The sequence below is a fragment of the Homo sapiens genome, chromosome 9, assembly GCF_000001405.40.
Source record: "Homo sapiens chromosome 9, GRCh38.p14 Primary Assembly".
Lineage (NCBI taxonomy): Eukaryota > Metazoa > Chordata > Mammalia > Primates > Hominidae > Homo > Homo sapiens.
The window spans coordinates 4055120-4072142 of NC_000009.12; the positions used below are offsets into that span (position 1 = coordinate 4055120).

The following is a 17023-nucleotide window of genomic DNA, read 5'->3' on the forward strand; positions in this document are numbered from 1 at the left end:
CCATTACTTCTGCATCCTGAACCAAGAATGAACAGTGCAACTGGGGCTCCTTGCTTCTCAGCATATGGAGTTGTCATTCTTGACATCAATAGAGTTGGCAAGAGCCTCTATTTTCTCTTTCCTGGGCTATTCTGAGAAATGTAGCTACAGATGTCGAGTCTGACTAAGCAGAATCTGGCCTCAGATTACTCTAAATTCCAGGTGCATTTAAATCAAGGGTGCCTCCGTCCATCCCTGTTCCTGATCCTATTTTTCTATGTCCCTCAGTATCACTGGCAAGCCCCTTTACTGAACTCTTTCCATATGCCAAGTTCAGGGCCTGACCATGGGAGTTCCAAGATGATCAACAGAATAAGTTCTCAGGAGCTTGCACTCTTGAGATGCACAAAAGCTTAAAATATGTCATTACACTGTAGAGAATTTGTGACATCAAACCTCCTCAGAAGGCTTGCAGGACCTTCCTACAGAAGGTTCAACTTGAAATGTGAAGCAAATATGTTGCTCTGCTGCATGTTCAAAGCCCCGCAGAGGAAACGAGGAATGATGGTGTTATCACTTTCAATGGCAGGCTTCTGTGATCAGGTCCAAAATAAAATGCACAAAGGCTTCTGTTTTCCGTGGATCAACCACAGCAAGCTGGCTCAAGTTCAACAACAGCCAACTTCCAGCTTCATTGGAGGGATGTAAAGGAGCCCTACCAATGGTCTGGCTTTCAGAACAGGACTCCTCTTCCTTTCTTAGAACATTTCTTTTGCAGGTAAAATTGGGTTGAATGAACATCGATGGCAGTGACGGAGGAAGGAAGGAAGTCTATATTCTGAAAAGGGTAAGGAGGCAAAGGAAACTCTCTTCCTCCTTTGCCAACATGATGGGGAGAATGGTGAAGGACTGATAGGATGATCATGCGCAATTAATACTAGGCCCTGTTTAGTTCCACACATCAGCTATGTCTGTCCCTATTGTAGGCATCATCCAGCCCCCATTTGGCCGTGATTATATGCAGCCTAGATATGATTCATCCTAGCGTATAAGAATGGCACCAAATGGGGTTTGCAATAGCAGGGTGTCCTGCAAAGTAGAATTTCTAATTTATCTCTAAAAGCCCTTCCAGCTCACAGAGCCTACATTTAAGGACCAACCTTGAAGACATGGGAATCAAACAGTCCTCTTGGGGATTTTATTCTTATTTCACTGTCATAATGTAAACTCTCTGTGGATGCAGCTTCAAATACAAGACTCCTTTTTAAGCTACTAGTTTTAACAGTGGCTGAGATGGGCACCATCTGCTCACAGGGTTTCCTTTAAGTTGTTAAAATCTTCCTTTTCCCATTTAGAATTGAAAGTTTCAAATGGAATACCTTTGGGAGAGGTAACAAATGAAATGAAATTCAACCTAAGATTCAAATGCCAGCTTTGCAGGAGACTTTCTACGAAGCCAGACTTTGGGAAGAAAGTAAAGGTTGAAGAGAGAAGAGAGAAAAAAGCAAAGGGAAGAAAACAGAGATGAGGTGAGAGACGGGATATGAAAGAAAGGAGAAAAGAGAGACAAATTCAGACACACATGCACGTGTGCATATATATACAGAGTGACACACACACACCCCACCACGCACACACAAACTATGACGTCAAATGGGCACTTAGTAAAAAGTGGAATCAATCTATAAGGAAAAGAGAAAATATTAATGGATAGGGAAAAGAGTTGGCAAAAGCAGCCGACTAATTGCCCAAATAAGATCATCTTTGGGTAATAGAAAAAGCTGCTCCTCTTCAAGACACTTTTTTTTTTTTTTTTTTTTTTGCCATCTGCCAGGAAAAAAAGCCACAATAATCATCTAAATTTATGATGACTAAGAATGTGAATCGTGCCCCCTAGAATTATCTAGTGCATTATCTGCATGGCCTTACATACTGGCCATGCATCTCCCACCACAACTAGGCTCCTAAATTTCATCTCATTCAAGACCACAATTCTAGAACACCTGGATGTGCAGCTTCATGAAGCGTCAACAATGCCCTAAGGAACCAGAAGTAGAGAGAATACTAATTCCAGGGCTGGCTTCATGGGCATCAAAGGCCATGCAGTCCCATCGGCCCCTACCCTTAGAAGGCCTCCACACTATGTTTAATACTCTGCCATTATCATTTTAAAATTCTTAATCATTTCTGAACAAGGGGCCCCACATTTTCATTTTGCACTGGGTCCTGACAATTATGAAACTCGTTCTCCTTTATTTAGGACTAAATTCTCCCTGGGTGGATCCATCCCTAATAAAGATATCATAACATTTTTATGCTAAAGAGCTTGATAGGAAAGCACAAAAACAGGTAACAATGCACAATTTTTAAATGGATAATCACAGAAAAATTAAAAGCAGTACTTTTTTCATTTCCTGGAAAAAGCTTGAGTTCAGCAGGCATTTGAGGTCTGTTTCAGAATCATTATTTGTCCTTGAAAAAAAAGCACAATGTAAAGTCACATTTTGTGTGAACCAGTTTACTCCTCTTCAAATGAAAAAAAATTGAAGAAGAAATAAAAAAGAAAGAAAGGTCAGATCGACTTCCTAGAGAACAGAAGAATGCAGCTAGGAAAAAAAAATAGTTTACTCAACTTTTTCAATGGTACCAAAAGGAACCTTTGACACTTCTTGGCAAAGACATGATAATACTTTTAATGCTATAAGAGAAAAAGGATCGTCACTGAGAAAACTTCAGAAAAGAGGTCTTGATGATGGGCTTATGCAAGATGTACACGGCCTCGCTAAGAACCTTGATCTTTTTCACATGTAAAAAAACAAAAAGCCCAAACTGTAAAGAAAATATAATATTCTAAAAATATGTATAGGTGTTTATCTTTATTCTGGGTTTTAGAACTCAAACATTTTCTTCCAGCACACCTGGTCTTTTGAATGAGTGACCTCTCCAAACAAAGCTAAGGACAAAAGACAAAGAGAACATCCCCTGATGCATGGATTGTACCAAATCACAAATGTACCTATATCACAAGACTTGTTTCTAGAGAAAAGGAAAAGGAAGTAAATCCAGGATTTAGCTATGAGCCTAGCTTCTTGGGTCACTGATTGCTCCAGCCAGTGACTGCAGGCCTTGTATTTTTCCTTGTTTTTTTTTGGCTTTGCTTTTTATTTGTTTGCCTATAATTAACAACTATGAACCACACATACACAATAAGGCATAAAAAAAAGCATGGCAGAGAGTAAGCAGATACTGCTCTGGGTTCAGAAATCACAGCTCTATTCAACAGTGTTTTTCTTTGCCTACTGATCTCTTTGACTTTCCAGACTCCCGAGACATATTTCCTTTCCCCTATTTAAAAAAAAAAACAGTTCCCATCTCTTTGCTCAAATTTCCCATCTATTCCTGCATGTTATCTATTTTTTCCAATAAGTCCTGGAATGTACTTAGCATAATAATTTTAAACCCTGCCTAATAATTCCAAAATTGGGCCATCTCTGTGTCTACTTCTATTGACTATTTCCTCTCTTGGCCAAGAGCGACATTTGCTTGCTCCTTCTTATGTCTTATAACTGACTTTGTGCCAAATATTTTGTGTAAAAGAACCATAGAGTGCGGTAGCTCAAGCCTGTAATCCCAGCACTTTGGGAGGCCAAGGCGGGCGGATCACGAGGTCAGGAGATCGAGACCATCCTGGCTAACACAGTGAAACCCCATCTCTACTAAAAAATACAAAAAAATTAGCCGGGTTTGGTGGCAGGTGCCTGTAATCCCAGCTACTGAGGAGGCTGAGGCAGGAGAATGGAATGAACCCAGGAGGTGGAGCTTGCAGTGAGCCAAGATTGCGCCACTGCACTCCAGCGTGGGCCACAGAGCAAGACTCCATCTCAAAAACAAAAAAAAAAAAAGAAAAAAAGAAAAGGCCTCACACCTTCTGCTGTCAGGCTGCTAGTTGACGAAGGGGACCCTGAGTCATCTAATCTATAGTTGATCTAGGTCTGAGTGTTACTGCAGCTTTAATCAGATTCAAATCACCACTGGCTTAAATATTTTGAGGGTGGGATCAGGCCTTGACCTTTTGGCAAGTCTTGAGATCTGAGCACAGACGAGATTTCAGACATTTTTTCTCTATGCTTTATGCTAAGCTGTCAGTTTTCCAAACTAGGGAATATTTCTCTCAGCTTTAAAGCACAGGAGGCTGCTTTTTAAGTCATTAAAATATTCTCTTTGTTCTCCACTACACTCCTGGTTTTTGGCACCTCTGGAGATCTCTGCACTGCTGCTCTGCTTTCATCCTTCAGACAGTGACTACAGAAAACTGCCAGAGTGCCATGATGGGATTTCTCTCAGCTCTCCTGCCCTGTTCTCAGCCTGTAACAGGCCATTGCCTTGCTTTGTGGAAAAACCACAAATACCTTAGAGAGAAGTACTATTGGCTTTTCTAGCCTATTCTTGGCCTTCTGCCTACCATCCTTCTGCACTTGAACATCCATGGGAATAACCTGGAGACTGGTGCAGGGATTGCTTTGTGGTTGGAGATCCTTATTATTCTAAACAGCCAACATGTGGCCATTCCAAATTAGTTAAGTTGGGCTACTTTCTTCTCACTCTGACAATGATAGATTCCTCCTCTTGCCAGCACTTTGCCAGGGATGAAAGCAGGCCTCAGCTTGTTCTCTCCTGAAAGGGCTTGTCACTTACTCAGCTTTATTTGTGTGTGTGTGTGTGTGTGTGTGTGAGAGAGAGAGAGAGAGAGAGAGAGAGAGAGAGAGAGAAAGAGAGAGACTGGCTCTCCTACTAGCTCAAAAAATAAAAAAATCTATGATTTTGTTTTTTACTCTCATTTTTAAGGCAGGTGTGAAGGTTCCTTGCAACTTTCTACACATGTTGAATCAGAACCTTACCCCTACTTTTAAGGCATGTTGAATTCCGAATGCATCCTTCCTCCTGGAACCCAAGGTTCCTGGCCAACCTGGTCAACTCATGTGAGCCCATTTGGTAGCCCTGGTAGCGCATATCAAGCATTTTACTGAAAGATGTCTCAGGCAAGCTCTGAGTTTGGACATCCTAGCCTACCCTGAAACTCTCAGTGGAATTCCCATATCTCACTTCATACTACTCTCAGTTCTTCAAGACTAACTGCCTATTTAATGGACTAAACCTCCCATTTCTGTCTTTACTTCAACTTTCCATTCAACAAACATTGTCTTTTGAACCTCAAATCTGGTTCCTGATTCTCCTTCTAGCCAGCCTGCTTCTCGTCACCTTCAGTGGTCATCCCTTTCAACTGAACCTAACTTTACTTCTTCCCAGCTCACTAATAGGTGGTGTTATGATTTAATATTTGCCCCCGTGTTGAAACTTAATCCCCAGTGTGGCAGTATCTTAAGAGGTAGAGCCTTAAGAGGTGACTGGGTCATGACAGCTCTGCCCTCATGAATGATGGGTTAATGTATTAATGGGTGATTATGAGAGTATAACTTGTGGCTTTATGAGAAGAGAAGAGAGACCTGAGTTAGTTCGTTCAGACCCGTTGCCAGGTGATACCCTGTGTGCCTCAGAACTCTTGAGGAAGTCCCCACCAACAAGAAGGCCTTCACTGGATGCAACCTCTCAACCTTGAATTCCTCAGCTTCCACAACTGTAAGATAGAAGTTCCTTTTCTTGTTAAATTATCCAGTTTTGGGGATTATTTTAATAAGCAACAGAAAAATGGACTAAGACATGTGACATATTAATTTATTCTTCTCTGTAGTTCATCCAGCCTCTGCCCAGGAATCAAAATTCTCAACTCTGCTCACAGGTACCATTTGAATGTGCCACCACTCCCACTTTGCCCATGGATTTTCTAGACTCAGAGCCTGCCTGCTAGTTCCTACTTTCTGGCCTATCTCTTGCATGCTTCCAATACCCCGTTCTTCTGGTTCAGTTACACTTCTGCATCATCTGCTTCATAATGGCTACTGATCCATTTTTTTTTTTTACTATTACACTTTAAGTTCTAGGGTACATGTGCACAACGTGCAGGTTTGTTACATATGTATACATGTGCCATGTTGGTGTGCTGCACCCATTAACTCGTCATTTACATTAGGTATATCTCCTAATGCTATCCCTCCCCCCTCCCCCCACCCCATGACAGGCCCCGGTGTGTGATGTTCCCTTTCCTGTGTCCAAGTGTTCTAACTGTTCAATTCCCACCTATGAGTGAGAACATGCGGTGTTTGGTTTTTTGTCCTTGCCAGAGTTTGCTGAGAATGATGGTTTCCAGCTTCATCCATGTTCCTACAAAACATGAACTCATCCTTTTTTATGGCTGCATAGTATTCCATGGTGTATATGTGCCACATTTTCTTAATCCAGTCTATCATGGATGGACATTTGGATCAACTGTTAACATTACATCACAACATAAGAAGAGAATAAAAAGGAGGACTTTCCATTCTAGACTTGGAACCTCATATAAATAGCCATAAAATGGTTTAATTGGACACTTATAAAGACTGAACTACAAAGGATATATATTAACACAGTTTAGTGTAAAAATGAGATGTTGATACTTTTTTAGAGTCTCGGGTACAAATGAAAGTTCAGCAAAATATCTGAATTATCAAAAGCTTCATGATAGCCAACAACATGACGTCCTGAAATGTTTCTAAAGAAAAAAAGCAGTATGATATTCTTTCTGCAAGCTTGTACTGCACATACTCCCTGAAGAATTATGCAAGAATGCCACAAGTGAGAAATGAGAACTGTCAATGCACATGTTACCGTGCTCCTCCTGGTTTATCAGTGTTCAGGGTGTCCTGAGACAGCTTCCTCTGCCTAGGAGATCTGAGCTTCTTTAAGTCACATGGCAAAAGGGAGCATAAAAAATGGGGAAGGTGGCAGGACTCCTCATCCTCCTTGTCCTCACTTCATTTACCCAAGATTTCAGGCTGTCCCAGCATCTTTCCTGGACACAATTTCATTACCACAATATGAAGACTGAATTACTTCCTTGCCAAATCACACTAAGTACATAGGTTGTGAAAGTTAATGTCTGTAAAGGACTGTGCGTTCTTTGACGCAAAGGAGCTCAACAAATGCACAGTCATATTAAAATGATACATTACCCCTGTGCCTTAGCGACTAATTTAGGAGAGAAAGGCATTTCATAATGAAAATCTTCATGATGTTGTATAAGGTGTTCCTTGAGGACCGACTGTCAGTTTCCCATATTGAAAATACTGGTGGGATTGGGAGAGAGGTGGAAAGAAAAGGAAAGAAGGGGTTCTAAACTCGTTTTGCTTCTGTACCCCAGTTGCTGCTACATATAAGGCTTAGCTTTAATCATACAAAATATCCAAGGCAGAGATAGAATGAATACTGGGTTTAGGATTAAGAGGCTTGAGGGACTAGTGTCAACCATATCACATATTTGCTGTATGATCTAGGTTAAGGCACTTACTTTCTCTGAGCCTCATTTTCATACCTATAAAATGGGATTATAACTCTTCTGCCTACCCCATAATTGCTGTGAAGATGAAATAGCATATGTAAGAATGTGAAGTGGCCAGGCACAGTGGCTCACGCCTGTAATCCCAGCACTTCGGGAGGCCGAGGCGGGCGGATCACAAGGTCAGGAGATTGAGACCATCCTGGCTAACACAGCGAAACCCCATCTCTACTAAAAATACAAAAAAAATTAGCCAGGCACGGTGGCGGGCACCTGTAGTCCCAGCTACTTGGGAGGCTGAGGCAGGAGAATGGCATGAACCCAGGAGGCGGAGCTTGCAGTGAGCTGAGATCATGCCACTACACTTCAGCCTGGGTGACTGAGCGAGACTCCATTTCAAAAAAAAAAAAAGAAAGAATGTGAAGTACACAGGAAGCACAGTATGCAAACGACACAAATTCTTATTGCTGTTATATGGACCAAACACTTGGAATAAACTCTCTTGACTCTTTATCTCACCAGATTAATATACAGATGGCAAACTGAGTTCCATATCTGCAAAAAAAAACAATGCACAAAGAAAAATGTACATCTGAGTCAGCACCACCTTATGTCTGCCTAGGGATTTGATTTGCACATTTCACAATATTCCAGAAGCAAAATGTATGAGATGTGTCCTTTCTTACTTATTACTCATATGTGTTTTTATTCCCCACTTAGTGAAATTTACCTTTTATAAAACATGTAATATGATGGATAACTCAATATGGAAGAGACTTTTTATGGGTATGTAACAAACCATACTGCAAAGGGGATGATATGCTTGGCCTGTCAGTTCAGGAAAGCATAACAAGATTGAAACCACATCCTACCACCAAGAGTGGCTTACCCTAGGAATGAATGATTATTAAACATCTGAAAAATCTATTCATGTAATTTAGCGCATTAACAGAATAAGAAAACCAACCAGGTGATTGTCTCAATAGAGCTTTTAAAGCCCTTGGTAAGAGCCATGCAAGTTCATGATTTAAAAAAAAAAAAATGGTGTTGTATTAAAAGCATATTCACTAAAATCAGAAGTACTGCATATTTGCTATTAACTCACTACTAGAACTCAATAATGTATAAAAGGTCCTAAATAAGACAAACAAGAAAACGAATGAGACAAATATTAGAAAGGATTACCTAGAACATCTTAGAAAATAAATTGAGAAAAATTAAGGCAGATGAGAGTTCAGTAGGTTGGTCAGACACAAAATCATCATAGAAAAATAACCTCTACACACTACCAACTAATTAAAAAGTGAAGGTATAATGGGATCTCATCTCATTCAGTGTACGTGTGTGAGTTCCCAATATTCAATAATACACCTACTGAAAAAAGTGAAATCATAAGTAAAGAAGAACAGATCACAAAATTTCCTGTTTAGCGAAACAGAAAAGGTCCTGTTCCAGATGTCAAATATATTTCAAAGACTTTTTTTTTCAACTCTGAAATGTAGAAGCTCAATAGTTGACAAGTAGACCACTGAAACAGAGGAAAGAATCAAGTAATAGAATAAGGCAACATTAAAATATAGTTTATGCTAAAGGTATCATATTGTCTCAATAGGAAAATGATAGACCGTATTTAATTATGCTGAGAAAACCTATTTACTGAGGAAAAAATCTAGATTCATACCTTGTATTATACAGTACATAAAAATAAATTCTACAAGGAATAAAGATAGGTGAAGAAAAATTATAAAAGTATTAGAAAACACAGATTTTTTAAAAATATTAAGCTAAAGAAAACCTTCTTAAATAAGATAAAAATACACAAATCATAGAAGTTATTGATAGCTATGACTACCAAAAATTTAAAGCTTTTATACAACAAAGCACAGAAATGATACTTACATAAAATGCATGCATTAGTTCAAGATTTTCATTGTCTTATTTTCTATGGGGTTCTGCAATTTTTATTTCAGAAAATATACCTACTGGATTTATAATAATGGTTATGCAAGTTCACATCCCAAGGCCGAGGCAGGCAGTTCACTTGAGGTCAGGAGTTTGAGACCAGACTGGCCAACATGGTGAAACCTTGTGTCTACTAAAAATATTATTAAAAAAATGCCTGGTGTTGTGGCGCACACCTGTAATCCCAGCTACTTGGAAGGCTGAGGCAGGAGAATCACCTGAAGCTGGGAGGTGGAGGTTGAAATGAGCTGAGACTGCGCCAGTCAGAGAGGAAACTACTTAAATCTTATTTCATTTCCATTTTCTCATATAGGGAAGTAGGCTTCAAACTGAAATTGAGGACTAATTCGGAAGGAACAAAATAGCAAGAGAGCATGTTAACTAGGTCCCAATGTCCTGATCCAGATGGGTCCTGAATCCCCAGGGAGCTGTAAGTATTTGTAGATGTGACTGGAGCACCACCATTCATCCTCCAGGGGCAGGGCAAACAGGCTTGAAAATTAAAGCTGGCACTGTTACTAATTTTTTAGAAAAGGGAAAAAGTTGGATTCTAGAAACTACAAAAGGCCAATGACTTTAGTCCCATTCCCAGTCAAGAGTATAGAGCTGGCTATTTTTTCTTCTGTCGGCCTAGATTTCTGATTTTTCCCAGAACTCTCCCAGGCTGTGGAGTTTACAAACCAGCCCTTCCTAGGGGCAAAAACACCTCTGGGATCCCCTTCTCAGGCTTTCCCTAACTCACAGCCACCCTCCACAGAGCCCTGCTGTGCTAGCAACACAGCCCAAGGCAGAAAAAGGAGCATTAGAGAAACCGAACAAAGGATGATTCAAGAGCAACTGGAAAGGGTTATTTTTTAAGTACTATAATATTTGTTTTATTTTAACACACTGTATAAAGACCTTCACTTTTTATTTTACCTCTTTTGAGTCTTTTCATACTAACGCTGTAAAACAGCCAAAGTGAGAAATTTTCTGTCATTATTCAAAATTTAATATCAAATTTGTTTGTTTTATACAAATTCCCAACTCTTCTGCCTTAATGTATTAAGTAACACAAATGTCATGTTCTACCAATTAGCAAACAGGCTTATGAAAAACAGCACTGTTATGTATTAACTGTGTAAGTTTCCTTTGGGCCAGAAAAAAAATAAGTAGCAAGTTCCAAATGTTTCTAAATCCACAAAGCAGTGTTTTATTAATTAACTAAACTGACAAGCATAGAATTTTCCAAGTGAAGAGGTCTAAGATGCTAGTGTTTGGCTACACTTTTATGGATGTATAGATGACATCCATAAAAATTACATGGTTAAAGCATACAGTATATTTTAGCCCTGAGATGATATCACACAGTTCTAACTTTAATTAGAAAGGACAAAGGAAATACAGGCTAAGAAGACCGTAATTTTAAATATAAGATTAAAACAAGGATAGGAAAATAGATTTTTGGCACATAAAAAATATGAGACTTCCTGGTGAAAAGGTGGTATAACCATAAATATATCGCTCTGCCTCCTTCCAACATCTCATTAAAATGACCCAAAGAATATAAAAAAAAAAAAAAAGAAACAGGCGAAACTTAAATCCTTTAATGAATTTTAAGAAAAAAAAATCACATGTCAAGCCATTTCTATTTAATGCCTATTTCAATTTCAAGACATTTCTATTTAATAAAAGAGCAAACAGCACTTGTTTGTAGGTAAGGCTAACCCTATCTGTAACACCCTGGCACAGAAGCGAAAGAGACTCCAGCAGATCATTAACACTCATTGCTGTGGGGCAGATGGGAGCCTATCTGACCTCACTAGGGTTTCCAGAAGCATCCAGGCAGGGAGGCACCGTGGGTGGGAAATCCTCTGGAGTGCATATTCCTGTCTTATCTTTGATGCTGATAGGTACGCCTTCTGCAGAACACATGCATTTTTCCAGCCACCTCCTGGTTGTGAAACAAGAGTATAAAAGCAACTTACCAGCCCAGAGGAGAAGCTCCCTGCCACTGCTGCTGCAACCCCACTTCTCTCCCTACTACTCTAGGCTGCTGGATTTCTGACCAGGTAATGTAAAACTGTACTAAAACTCCTCCTGCTTTCATCTGAGCCTTACAGAACCCATCTGCATCAGTTGTCAAATTATTGACTGTCAATTTCAATTCCACCCTTCTTTGTCCTGCTCTGCCGTACTACAGCTGGACCCTGTAACATTTCTCCTTTGCCAGCTGGAGAAATATTAGGCTTTGCCAATAAAGGAAGCTAGAGAGACACTGCAAGGTGAAGTGGAAGGAGTAATTCTCATCCTTGTTCTAGCGTGCTTGTCTGCTTGCTTTCATTGCACTGCTGCAGCAGCATGTGGGACGCCCAGTGGCACTTACGGTGCAACAAGTTTCTCCAGTACCCCAGCGGGCATCTTTCCGTGGATCAGCCCCGGCTCACTGACACCCAGGCAGGGAGCTTCTTGTTCAACAGCTCTGGCCCACCAGCAACTCACAAACCTGTCCACCACACAGTGACATGCAGCCAGACCCTCCCCAATGGGATCTAATTCTCAATTTTGTTTGGACAGGAAGTTATCCTTCTTCCAAATTCCTAGTTCCTTCCTTCCACAGTCCCCTTCTGCCCTGGAGAAAAATCTGCTCCCTGAATTTGCCATTCATGTAGACTTAGAATCTTCTTTTATTTTTTTTTAATACTTAACACCTTTGACTCGTTAATACTTTATATTAAAATTCTTTATATTACTTTAAAGTATAATAGAAAGTATAATACTTTATATTAAAGACTCACTATATTAAAATTCTTTAATATAAAGTATTATATTCTTTATAAAATTCTTAACAATACTTTATTTTAAAATTATTCTCTCCAAATGACTGGTGAAGTTTGCCTCCTGATTGGAACCTGACTGATACACTGTCTTACCACTTAATTTTGCATAAGCAGAGAAGCTCCTTTATAGGAGTGAACAAGGAGAGAAAGAGCACAGAACACAGAAAAAGACGCTGTAGGTCAAAAGAACACAACAGCCATGAAGAATCATTGTAAAAACATCCCTATGAAATAATTCTACTGCAAAAAAAGGAGAATATTTTTTAGAATTCCCAGTTTATCTCCTCAAATTCAACAAGATTCAAGCGGCCACTTTATGTATGAAACTAGAGCAAACACTCACAAAGGGGGAACTCCAAAGACAGTATAGAGATGAAAAACAGATTTGCCAAATTTAAAACATGGTAAAGACATGAATTGCAGATTAGATTATAGGAGAGAAAACAAATTAATAATATCTCATTTCAAGAAAAAAACCATGAACATTAGAGCAAAAAAAAAATATATGGTTACCAGCAAAGAACAGATTGATCCCAGACTTCTCCATAACAATAATAGTTAAAAATAGAAATGAAGCAATAACCACCGAGCTGTCAAAGAAAAAGATTATGATGCAATTATTCAATATCCACTAGTGTCATCATTCTTGGGTAAAGATAATAGAAAAAGTCCTCAGAATATATAAAGTCAGAGAGCATTATGCTATGTATCTTTCCTGAAAAAATCCTCAAAAAACCTGCAACTAGTAGAGAAAAGACTCAAAATAAGGAGCTTAGAAAATGGAGAAGTGTTACTATAAAAGGGCTGGTAGTAAGCATGAATTTAAATGTTCTAATTAAAATTTAATGTCATTTGCAAGACTGTAAAAACTTAAGGCAAATTTTAAAAACCGTTTTTATTTAAAATGCAAAATGTAATAAAAACAATAATTTTTAAATCATAATAATCAAATCCTAAAACTTCAGCGCAAGAAAGTTATAGAAAAGGTGCCACATTTCTTATCTTACAGAGAATCAGTAGTATTTTATTCATGATTTTGAAAACTAGAGAAAAATAAGTAAAATATTTAATTAGAAAATTAATCTGAATGAAAAAACAAGATTTATAACTTCCAAGTTGCAAAAGGCAAAAAGGGCAAAGAAATATTTTATGTAGGCAAAGAAAAAAGGCTAATGATGTTTTTTAAAATGTGTTTGAGCAGTGAATTTATATCCTTTATAGCTATTTTCTATTTTGTTTACAATGACCAAGTATAACCTGTATAATCAGAAACCAAAAATAAATATTAGAGAAAATCCTGGGGCTCAAAGAGCAAGAATTTCACAAGAGACATTCCCATTTGTCATCACCTGCAAAGTCAGTCAGTCAACATGTACATACAAATGGCCTCAGAAGACCAAGTAAGGAGACAGAGCCTAGTCACACAGTGAAAACCTCGAAAAAGAGCACTGTCAAGGGATTTTTTTTCTTTCTTGACTACAGGTTTTTGTTATTTTTTGTGCATGCATGCATGCATGTATGCATGTGTGTGTGTGTGTGTGTGTGTTTAATATGTCTATTCAATTTCTTGCAATGCACACTTGGGCAATAAATCCTGGTCTGTCCACTGATTAAAGGGTATCAGAAAAATAAGGGATTTAAAAAAATCAACCGTAATGTAACCCCCTTGCCCTACCCATGGAGAACTAAGGCCCAGAAAAGTAAGTGGCTTGTTCATGTCAGGCCAATAGAGTTAGTTCCAATAAATGTATGGGATTAGCAGGAATACTATAAAACTCACAGTTTTATGAAGCCTTGAGGGCCTTGGATAAGGCTCAATAAAAATGCCCTGTTGAATATGTAGGAACCTGCCGAGCAGAGGAGATTTCTAAGATACTGGCCAGCTCTAAAACTTTATGGTTGGGGGAATTAATTGGCTACTTTGTCTTCCAGATTTTGAGACTTACAGGTTGCTCTTCTGGGTCTCCTTCAGATTCTGGCCTGAAACTATTGGAAAGCCTGCCTGGCTGGTAGCTGAGCTATTGGATCGGCTTCTCAGCCATTCCAAAACTCAGGCTCAGAAATCTTCCAGTTGCTATCTCCAGGAGAGAGCAAGATTGGAGATAAGATACCTATATATAAAATCATTAATACATTTAAAAAGTACATGAGCCTCAACGCACACTAAAAGACCAGTCCCTGAGTCTGGAACAGCCAGCAGTGACTTTCACAGATTCTTATTATCTGTGACTAAGGTTTCTTTTTAACTTATCTGTCAAATACTAGCTTGTTGTTTTTTCCAGAACGTAAAACAGTTTCTTTTTTTCAACTGCATGCCTACCTTCAGATTGAGGTGAGAAGTGCCTTGAAATGAAAGTAAATGTAGAGAGGTGCTTTTTTGGTCTACAGTGCATACTTACAGGGAAATTAAGCCATTAAATTTAGTCAAGAGCCTTTTACAGCTGTTTTGTTATTTTGCCAAAGCTCTTTTATGAAAGATTTGGGAATCATTCTAAAATACCATTGTGCATTTTAGAAGAAAAACTAACTCCAAGGACACTATGCCTTCTCCAGCTTGAGGTGTAACTCTGAGAATTTCCATCTGGAAGCGGAAGCCTGTGGATGTCAGGAAGATAAGCTTTGGACATTCTCCAGCTGTCCCTGACATGACTGTCAGAGGCCAGGAGAGACCCAGGGAACATGGCCTATGGTATCAAGGCACAGGGGCAGCCATTTCAGCCACAGTCCATTTTGTCCAGCTTACTTTTATCTGTAATCAAAATACTCAAGTGATTCTGACTATAAATATATATAATATATGACTTCCATATTGGATCTTAATTCTCACTACCTCTGCTTAAGTTGAGATTTTGTGGTTGAGTCAGCTTTATAGAATAGTATTTCCGATTCTTCAATTAGTTCACCCCCTCCTTATCAGAAGTTCCATACAGATCCATTCTGAGCTGAATTCCCCTCTCATGGGGATAATGATTTAATGGATAATGACTTAGGATAAGTTCAGCTTTGCACCAGGGAAAACTAGTAAGCAAATTGACAAAGACTGCTTACTGGGAAGTTTTGTTTGTTAAAGAAGGTCTCTCAGACATGTAATAAGGCTATGTCCCTAGACACAGTACTGTCTCTCTATACACTGTGACCAAAAAGTCTCCACAGGAAGTGGTGGTTACTCTGTGTGTGTGCATGTGCGTAAGTATTTGTGTGTGTGTGCGTGTGCGTAAGTATTTGTGTGTGTGTGAGAGAGAGAGATGCAGAGCAAGCGAGAGAGAAAGGAGGGTGTGTATGTGGGTAGTGAGTATGTATGTGTGTGTATATGTAAGCTGTACATATTTCTCTCTCGCATATCCAGGTGAAAGACTTTGGGTTATTATTCTGTTATTACTCTGCCCCAAATATCCAAATTGTTATATCCCAAAGCAAGTAATCAGCACTTAAATATTTAAATAATTATGCAATCAACTAATCAATTAAGTCATCTGTTGCCAGCAAGTCTCCAATTATTTACAAGAATGCTTTTTACAGTTCTTTTATGGGCTAGGTATAAAAGCCTAGGTAAGACAGAAAAGAGCTTCTCAACACAGTAGCAAAATTAAAGCACCCTGCTTTATGTACCTGTATGTTAGCACTCAGAAATATGCACATGTACCCTCACAGGAAACAGCTTTGTCATTATTTTTTCCTTTCACCACTGAAGTCTTTTTTCTTCCTTTAAAACTTGTTTATGATGCTTTGACCAATGTTATGCAAAAAGATCTGTAAGATCTTTCAGTTTGAACTAATACACTAGAAGTTACCACTCAGGAATTAGCAATTATCACAAAGTAGTCCTTGAATTTAACTAAGGAGACAATGCAACGTTGGGAGGCATGGGCTTCAAATGCCTATAGACACATTTCAGAGGTATGATGTATGGGAAATGTCCCAGCAGATAACTGTTATGTAACCATTGGGCCAATGTGAATAAAGAAATAACTCATAAGTAGATGTCCTTAATCAAAACCTTGCAGTCTCTCTCTCTCTCTCTCCCGATTTTTCAAGGTACAGAGGAACACTTTCAACATTCCAAAATGATCCTAGAGAAACAGAAAATGTTATCAATTAACTCTCCTGAAGCCAAACTAAACACTAACTTTGCCAATGAGATATGATGGGGTTAGATTAGAATAAGGATTTGAAATAAACTATTTCTAATTCACCCATGACCTTGAAAACTCCATCAATGTTTATTTTTCTACCCTGGATATCAGATTTTGAGTTTTAAAAGGAGTGCATGAATATCTGCTAAATGCTAAGGAAAAGAATACTATGCAAAAGCTTAAAATGGCAGCTGCCAATATTGGTACCCTTTAGGAGCTCTTACTATTACATGTCTGTTCCCAGAACTGCTAAAATCAGAGGAAAGAAGGACAAAACTCACTTTTCCCTTTGCCATCCTCCTTGAAACACACAATTTCTAATTTGCCATTTTCATTCTTTGGGAGAAAAATTATTAAGGTGGTTTTATAATTTTAAAGCATTTTCCTAATATATCATTTTAAAAGTCACCCTGAGAATTTCAAGAGAGCCACAAGAATGTATCCATAACAATGCAAAAGATAAACAATAGAATATCAAGAAACACACCAGAGGAGGCAAGGCAACAGGTAACACTGACCTGCATTTGTAGAACTCGCTTTGGCCAGAGAATAAAGCAGACAGCTCTGTACAACATAAAAGATGGAGTTCAACATATGCTAGGTCTTCCTGTTGTCTCAGCCACTAAAGAAGTCCAGGCAAAGCTGTGCAGGGATGTCTTCTTAAATCATGAAAATCAACCCTTTATCCTTTACTTCCA

At 38.8% G+C, this 17023-nt stretch overlaps 1 protein-coding gene across 13 annotated transcripts in view; it reads right to left on the reverse strand.

The window, feature by feature from the left end:
• Positions 1-17023, reverse strand: part of GLIS3 (GLIS family zinc finger 3) — a 666339-nt gene that overhangs the window by 230993 nt on the left and 418323 nt on the right. The gene's annotated exons all lie outside the window — the stretch shown is intronic.